General features: G+C 54.8%; 2 protein-coding genes and 1 long non-coding RNA gene across 6 annotated transcripts in view, besides 3 other annotated features; 2 read left to right on the top strand and 1 right to left on the bottom strand.

Annotated features, from left to right (window-relative positions):
- Nucleotides 858–1,152: an enhancer, noted in NCBI's record as "tiled region #358; HepG2 Activating DNase unmatched - State 1:Tss, and K562 Activating DNase unmatched - State 5:Enh". NCBI's record gives its function as "activates a minimal TATA promoter and a strong SV40 promoter by Sharpr-MPRA in HepG2 and K562 cells {active_cell/tissue: HepG2 | K562}" and the evidence as "EXISTENCE:reporter gene assay evidence [ECO:0000049][PMID:27701403]".
- INHBE (inhibin subunit beta E) lies at nucleotides 1,179–3,897 on the top strand. The gene is made up of 2 exons (NM_031479.5): nucleotides 1,179–1,706; nucleotides 1,966–3,897. The coding sequence occupies exons 1-2, from the start codon at nucleotides 1,409–1,411 to the stop codon at nucleotides 2,718–2,720; spliced, it is 1,053 nt and encodes a 350-aa protein (NP_113667.1). The 5' UTR covers nucleotides 1,179–1,408; the 3' UTR covers nucleotides 2,721–3,897.
- LOC124902947 (uncharacterized) overlaps nucleotides 3,314–6,000 on the bottom strand; it is a 5,531-nt gene continuing 2,844 nt past the window's right edge. The window contains exon 2 of the long non-coding RNA XR_007063335.1: nucleotides 3,314–5,433. This is a non-coding gene — a long non-coding RNA (uncharacterized LOC124902947). The remainder of the gene's footprint in view (nucleotides 5,434–6,000) is intronic.
- Nucleotides 5,246–5,325: an enhancer, noted in NCBI's record as "active region_6536". NCBI's record gives its function as "activates an Ori minimal core promoter by ATAC-STARR-seq in GM12878 lymphoblastoid cells {active_cell/tissue: GM12878}" and the evidence as "EXISTENCE:reporter gene assay evidence [ECO:0000049][PMID:35858748]".
- Nucleotides 5,336–5,385: an enhancer, noted in NCBI's record as "active region_6537". NCBI's record gives its function as "activates an Ori minimal core promoter by ATAC-STARR-seq in GM12878 lymphoblastoid cells {active_cell/tissue: GM12878}" and the evidence as "EXISTENCE:reporter gene assay evidence [ECO:0000049][PMID:35858748]".
- GLI1 (GLI family zinc finger 1) overlaps nucleotides 5,657–6,000 on the top strand; it is a 12,484-nt gene continuing 12,140 nt past the window's right edge. For all 4 annotated transcript variants that reach the window (NM_005269.3, XM_011538190.3, NM_001167609.2 and 1 more), the window contains exon 1: nucleotides 5,657–6,000. This exon is cut by the window's right edge and continues 73 nt beyond it. The gene's annotated coding sequence lies outside the window, so the exon portion shown is untranslated.

Here is a 6,000-nt window from a genome sequence, read left to right on the forward strand (position 1 = left end):
GCCTGAAGGGTGGTGCGGTGGCTCACGCCTGTAACCTCAGCACTTTAGGAGGCTGAGGCAAGTGGATTGCTTGAGCCCAGGAGTTCAAGACCAGCCTGGGCAACATAGCGAGACCCTGTCTCTGTGGGAAATTTAAAAATTAGCCAGGTGTGGTGGTGCGCACCTGTAGTCCCAACTACTAAGGAGGCTGAGGCAGAAGGATTGTCTGAGCCCAGGAATTCAAGGCTGCAGTGAGCTATGATTGTGCCACTACACTCCAGCCTGAACAACAGATTGAGACCTTACCTCAGTAAAATAAAATAAAATTTAAATTTTAAAAATGTAAGAAAAAAAGGAGGCCTGGCACTACTTCTAGGATGCCCCAAATTTAGGCAACTCTCACAGTCCCTTGAAAGAGAAGTGGCAGCTGGGTATAGGCCCTCCCAAGTGTCATGCCCCCTGACAGTCCTGATGGACTCTGCCCTGTGTAAGATTGCATCACCACCACCACCACCTCTCTGGGCTTCCCCAGACATCACAGGAACACGTTCCCCGCCCCAACCCCCGCCGGCTCTGGCCCTCCTCCACATCATGCTCCACATCATGCTCCAGGCCAACTGGACTCTGGGCGGCCAGCACAGGCAGGGTCAGGGGGTGACTTCTGTGCCTCGTGGCACTGCCACCTGGGCCTGAGCAAGAGGGCTCCATTCTCCTACCCGCCCAAACCCTCATCCCTGTCCTAGCCCCAGTGCTAGAAATAAAGAGACCAGAATTTTCCTTCTGGCCTAAGGGCCCCAGAGGAATACCCACTGGAACTCACAGCTGCCTCATGGAAACTGCTGCAGCAGTGGTGAAGCTAGAAAGACTAGAGGTATGAGGGAAAATTGCCCTTCCCCACCTGGCTCATAAGGCGTTCCCTCCCCCAAGTCCCAGACCTTGGGGACTGAGCATGTGAAATCATCCTCTTTCTTGCATCATGCGTGTCCACATTGCACCCCCCCACCCCCATACCCCTACTTCAGGCCCAGTCACCATGGCCAGATGGTGAAACCTGAGCTGATGGGGAGGAGGACCTCCACCCCCTGCAGGGGCCTGATGGGCAGCACAGCTGGCCAATCCTGGGACTCAGAGGGTAGGTCGGCTGGCTGACCACTAGGTTTGGAAGACCCAGGCAGCTGGCTCTAAAGAGGCCCCAGGTCAGTAGCCAGACATGAGCTGTGAGGGTCAAGCACAGCTATCCATCAGATGATCTACTTTCAGCCTTCCTGAGTCCCAGACAATAGAAGACAGGTGGCTGTACCCTTGGCCAAGGGTAGGTGTGGCAGTGGTGTCTGCTGTCACTGTGCCCTCATTGGCCCCCAGCAATCAGACTCAACAGACGGAGCAACTGCCATCCGAGGCTCCTGAACCAGGGCCATTCACCAGGAGCATGCGGCTCCCTGATGTCCAGCTCTGGCTGGTGCTGCTGTGGGCACTGGTGCGAGCACAGGGGACAGGGTCTGTGTGTCCCTCCTGTGGGGGCTCCAAACTGGCACCCCAAGCAGAACGAGCTCTGGTGCTGGAGCTAGCCAAGCAGCAAATCCTGGATGGGTTGCACCTGACCAGTCGTCCCAGAATAACTCATCCTCCACCCCAGGCAGCGCTGACCAGAGCCCTCCGGAGACTACAGCCAGGGAGTGTGGCTCCAGGGAATGGGGAGGAGGTCATCAGCTTTGCTACTGTCACAGGTGGGTGAGGGAGAGAGCAACAGGCAAAGAGCAGACAGGGAAAGGGAGGCAGAAGGGGAGCCTGGCAGGAGCAGCAGAGGGAGTGGGGTGTGGCAGGAGAAGGAGGAGCTGGGGCAGGGACTGGTTGCAGAGGACACAAAGCAGTCTCTACTTTTCTAGAGGTAGGTTCGAGGGAGAGCAGTGGGCAGGGCTTGGGGAGTCTCAGAGGAGAGCTTCATCTCTACTCACATTTTCTTTCCCTTTTCTGTCTTTCGGGCAGACTCCACTTCAGCCTACAGCTCCCTGCTCACTTTTCACCTGTCCACTCCTCGGTCCCACCACCTGTACCATGCCCGCCTGTGGCTGCACGTGCTCCCCACCCTTCCTGGCACTCTTTGCTTGAGGATCTTCCGATGGGGACCAAGGAGGAGGCGCCAAGGGTCCCGCACTCTCCTGGCTGAGCACCACATCACCAACCTGGGCTGGCATACCTTAACTCTGCCCTCTAGTGGCTTGAGGGGTGAGAAGTCTGGTGTCCTGAAACTGCAACTAGACTGCAGACCCCTAGAAGGCAACAGCACAGTTACTGGACAACCGAGGCGGCTCTTGGACACAGCAGGACACCAGCAGCCCTTCCTAGAGCTTAAGATCCGAGCCAATGAGCCTGGAGCAGGCCGGGCCAGGAGGAGGACCCCCACCTGTGAGCCTGCGACCCCCTTATGTTGCAGGCGAGACCATTACGTAGACTTCCAGGAACTGGGATGGCGGGACTGGATACTGCAGCCCGAGGGGTACCAGCTGAATTACTGCAGTGGGCAGTGCCCTCCCCACCTGGCTGGCAGCCCAGGCATTGCTGCCTCTTTCCATTCTGCCGTCTTCAGCCTCCTCAAAGCCAACAATCCTTGGCCTGCCAGTACCTCCTGTTGTGTCCCTACTGCCCGAAGGCCCCTCTCTCTCCTCTACCTGGATCATAATGGCAATGTGGTCAAGACGGATGTGCCAGATATGGTGGTGGAGGCCTGTGGCTGCAGCTAGCAAGAGGACCTGGGGCTTTGGAGTGAAGAGACCAAGATGAAGTTTCCCAGGCACAGGGCATCTGTGACTGGAGGCATCAGATTCCTGATCCACACCCCAACCCAACAACCACCTGGCAATATGACTCACTTGACCCCTATGGGACCCAAATGGGCACTTTCTTGTCTGAGACTCTGGCTTATTCCAGGTTGGCTGATGTGTTGGGAGATGGGTAAAGCGTTTCTTCTAAAGGGGTCTACCCAGAAAGCATGATTTCCTGCCCTAAGTCCTGTGAGAAGATGTCAGGGACTAGGGAGGGAGGGAGGGAAGGCAGAGAAAAATTACTTAGCCTCTCCCAAGATGAGAAAGTCCTCAAGTGAGGGGAGGAGGAAGCAGATAGATGGTCCAGCAGGCTTGAAGCAGGGTAAGCAGGCTGGCCCAGGGTAAGGGCTGTTGAGGTACCTTAAGGGAAGGTCAAGAGGGAGATGGGCAAGGCGCTGAGGGAGGATGCTTAGGGGACCCCCAGAAACAGGAGTCAGGAAAATGAGGCACTAAGCCTAAGAAGTTCCCTGGTTTTTCCCAGGGGACAGGACCCACTGGGAGACAAGCATTTATACTTTCTTTCTTCTTTTTTATTTTTTTGAGATCGAGTCTCGCTCTGTCACCAGGCTGGAGTGCAGTGACACGATCTTGGCTCACTGCAACCTCCGTCTCCTGGGTTCAAGTGATTCTTCTGCCTCAGCCTCCCGAGCAGCTGGGATTACAGGCGCCCACTAATTTTTGTATTCTTAGTAGAAACGAGGTTTCAACATGTTGGCCAGGATGGTCTCAATCTCTTGACCTCTTGATCCACCCGACTTGGCCTCCCGAAGTGATGAGATTATAGGCGTGAGCCACCGCGCCTGGCTTATACTTTCTTAATAAAAAGGAGAAAGAAAATCAACAAATGTGAGTCATAAAGAAGGGTTAGGGTGATGGTCCAGAGCAACAGTTCTTCAAGTGTACTCTGTAGGCTTCTGGGAGGTCCCTTTTCAGGGGTGTCCACAAAGTCAAAGCTATTTTCATAATAATACTAACATGTTATTTGCCTTTTGAATTCTCATTATCTTAAAATTGTATTGTGGAGTTTTCCAGAGGCCGTGTGACATGTGATTACATCATCTTTCTGACATCATTGTTAATGGAATGTGTGCTTGTATGGTCTTGTGTTACAGTCTTTTTCAGTTTTAATTTCTAATGTGGTGAATTGATAGATGTAAATCATATGAACAAAAGCTCAATGATTTTTTTTTTTTTGAGACGGAGTCTCGCTCTGTCGCCCAGGCTGGAGTGCAGTGGCACAATCTCGGCTCACTGCAACCTCCACCTCCCAGGTTCAAGCGATTCTCCTGCCTCAGCCTCCTGAGTAGCTGGGACTACAGGCCTGCGCCACCATGCCCAGCTATTTTTTGTATTTTTAGTAGAGATGGGGTTTCACCATGTTGGCCAGGCTGGTCTCGGACTCCTGACTTGAGGTGATCCGCCTGCCTTGGCCTCCCAAAGTGCTGGGATTACAGGTCTGAGCCACTGTGCCTAACCTAATGACTTTTAAGAGTATAGAGGAAACCAAAAAGTTTGAGACTCACTGGTCTATAGAACTGGGTGGGGAGAAGAAAGTAAGGTGTTCTAAGAGAGCTCTTCTTGCTGGGCACCGGTGGTCCCAGCTACTTAGGAGGCTAAGGCCGGAAGACCGCTTAAACCCAGGAGTTCGAGGCTATGATCACACTTGTGAATAGCCTCTGCACTCCAGCCTGGGCAAATAGTGAGGCCCCGTCCCAAATAAAAATAAATAAATACATAAATACATAAATAGCTCCTCTGGAAGAAGGGGCTCGAGGCTGGGACAGGAGCATGTGTGGGGTGCCTTTTTTTCAGTGCCCATTAGTCTGGTCTGACTGAGCTGGGTCTCTGACCCTCTGGGGATAACTAGCCTGGGTCAAAGTCCCAGATCTCCCCCTACCTTCACCTTTTCTTTTCCCCCTTGACCCTCAGACTGAACAGTTAACCCACTGACCTTCCACACCCAAGGGGGTGGTTCTTGGAAGCAGAGCTAGGATGTGGGAGGTCTGCCTGTGGGGTTGAAAAAAAGGGGAGAGGGTGCCCTTTTTCCTTGTCATGCTTCCTCCTCTTTCTCATAAAAATCAGAGACTGAAATGCTGCCCCTCCCTTATATCCGGTCACGATGGCAATGCAAATCTAAAGAGGCAGGGCACTTCCCTGTCAGGCAGTACCGCTGGGCATAGCAACCTCTGCCTCTCCGTTTCTCAGAGCTCACATATCCACCTCCTGGGCTTTTAAGTGGGCTTTAGTGAGGGGCTCCTCCTTCAACTGGGCTCCTCCTTCAGTTCCCCAGCTCTTCTGCTTCGACTCCGAGCGGGTGTCATGTGTGAGAACGGCCAGCAGAGGGAGCAGAAAGCCTGGAAGAGCAGCTAGAGCCTGCAGTGACGTGGTGCGGAGGGGCGGCACCCTCCAGAACTTCGAGACGTAGAGCCGGGGTTCTAGGGAAAGGGGCTTCAGTCCCAGGGCTCCTTGGTGACCTCGTGAACCACACCCTGCACCCAGAGCCTCAGCCGCTGCTCCTTGCTTTTATGCTCCATAGACTCCTCACCTTCTTCCAGAGCCCCCAACCCAACTTGATTTGCCCCAAACCGCAACTCTGTCCCGGCCGCTGCAAGTTCCATCCAAAGGGTGAGGCCTGCAGATAAACCACAGGATGGCAGAATGCTCAGTTAGCACCAACCAAAGGCGACTACCCTACCTCCACTATTATCGTTCTCGGTTGAACTTCTCCCCCTGCCCCGCAATATTTTCCTCAATCTGGTTGTCGGGGCCTCTTTGGGGCCAGCCGATCCAGAAATCCAAGCCGGGATTTAGTACTCACCAACAGCAGCGTGTTCAGCCGGGGCGGGGGGGGGGGCGTAAGCAGTATAGGGTCCCTCAAGGGAGGGGGAGGATCCTGGGGGTCCTGGGGGTGCAATAAGCCCGGCACCCCTTCTCTTGCTTCCAGCTACCCCGCCTCATCCTCCAGAACGGCAAGAGGGAGGGAAATAGAAGGGAGGTGAGGGGCGAGCGGGAAGAGCGGCGGCGCGCCAGCGGCTGGAGAGAGAAAAAGTTTTTGCAAAAGGGAAAAAAAAAGTTTGCGCTTCTCGCGGGTGGTCCGGGCTTGCGGCCCGGCGGGCTGGGCCGGCGGGAGGGCTGGGGGCCAGGTTGGGGGGGTGGGGGTGGCATCGAGGCTGCGCTGCCGTGGCCCTCTCCGCCCCCC

Source organism: Homo sapiens, chromosome 12 (genome assembly GCF_000001405.40).
Source record: "Homo sapiens chromosome 12, GRCh38.p14 Primary Assembly".
NCBI classification, from domain to species: Eukaryota; Metazoa; Chordata; class Mammalia; order Primates; family Hominidae; genus Homo; species Homo sapiens.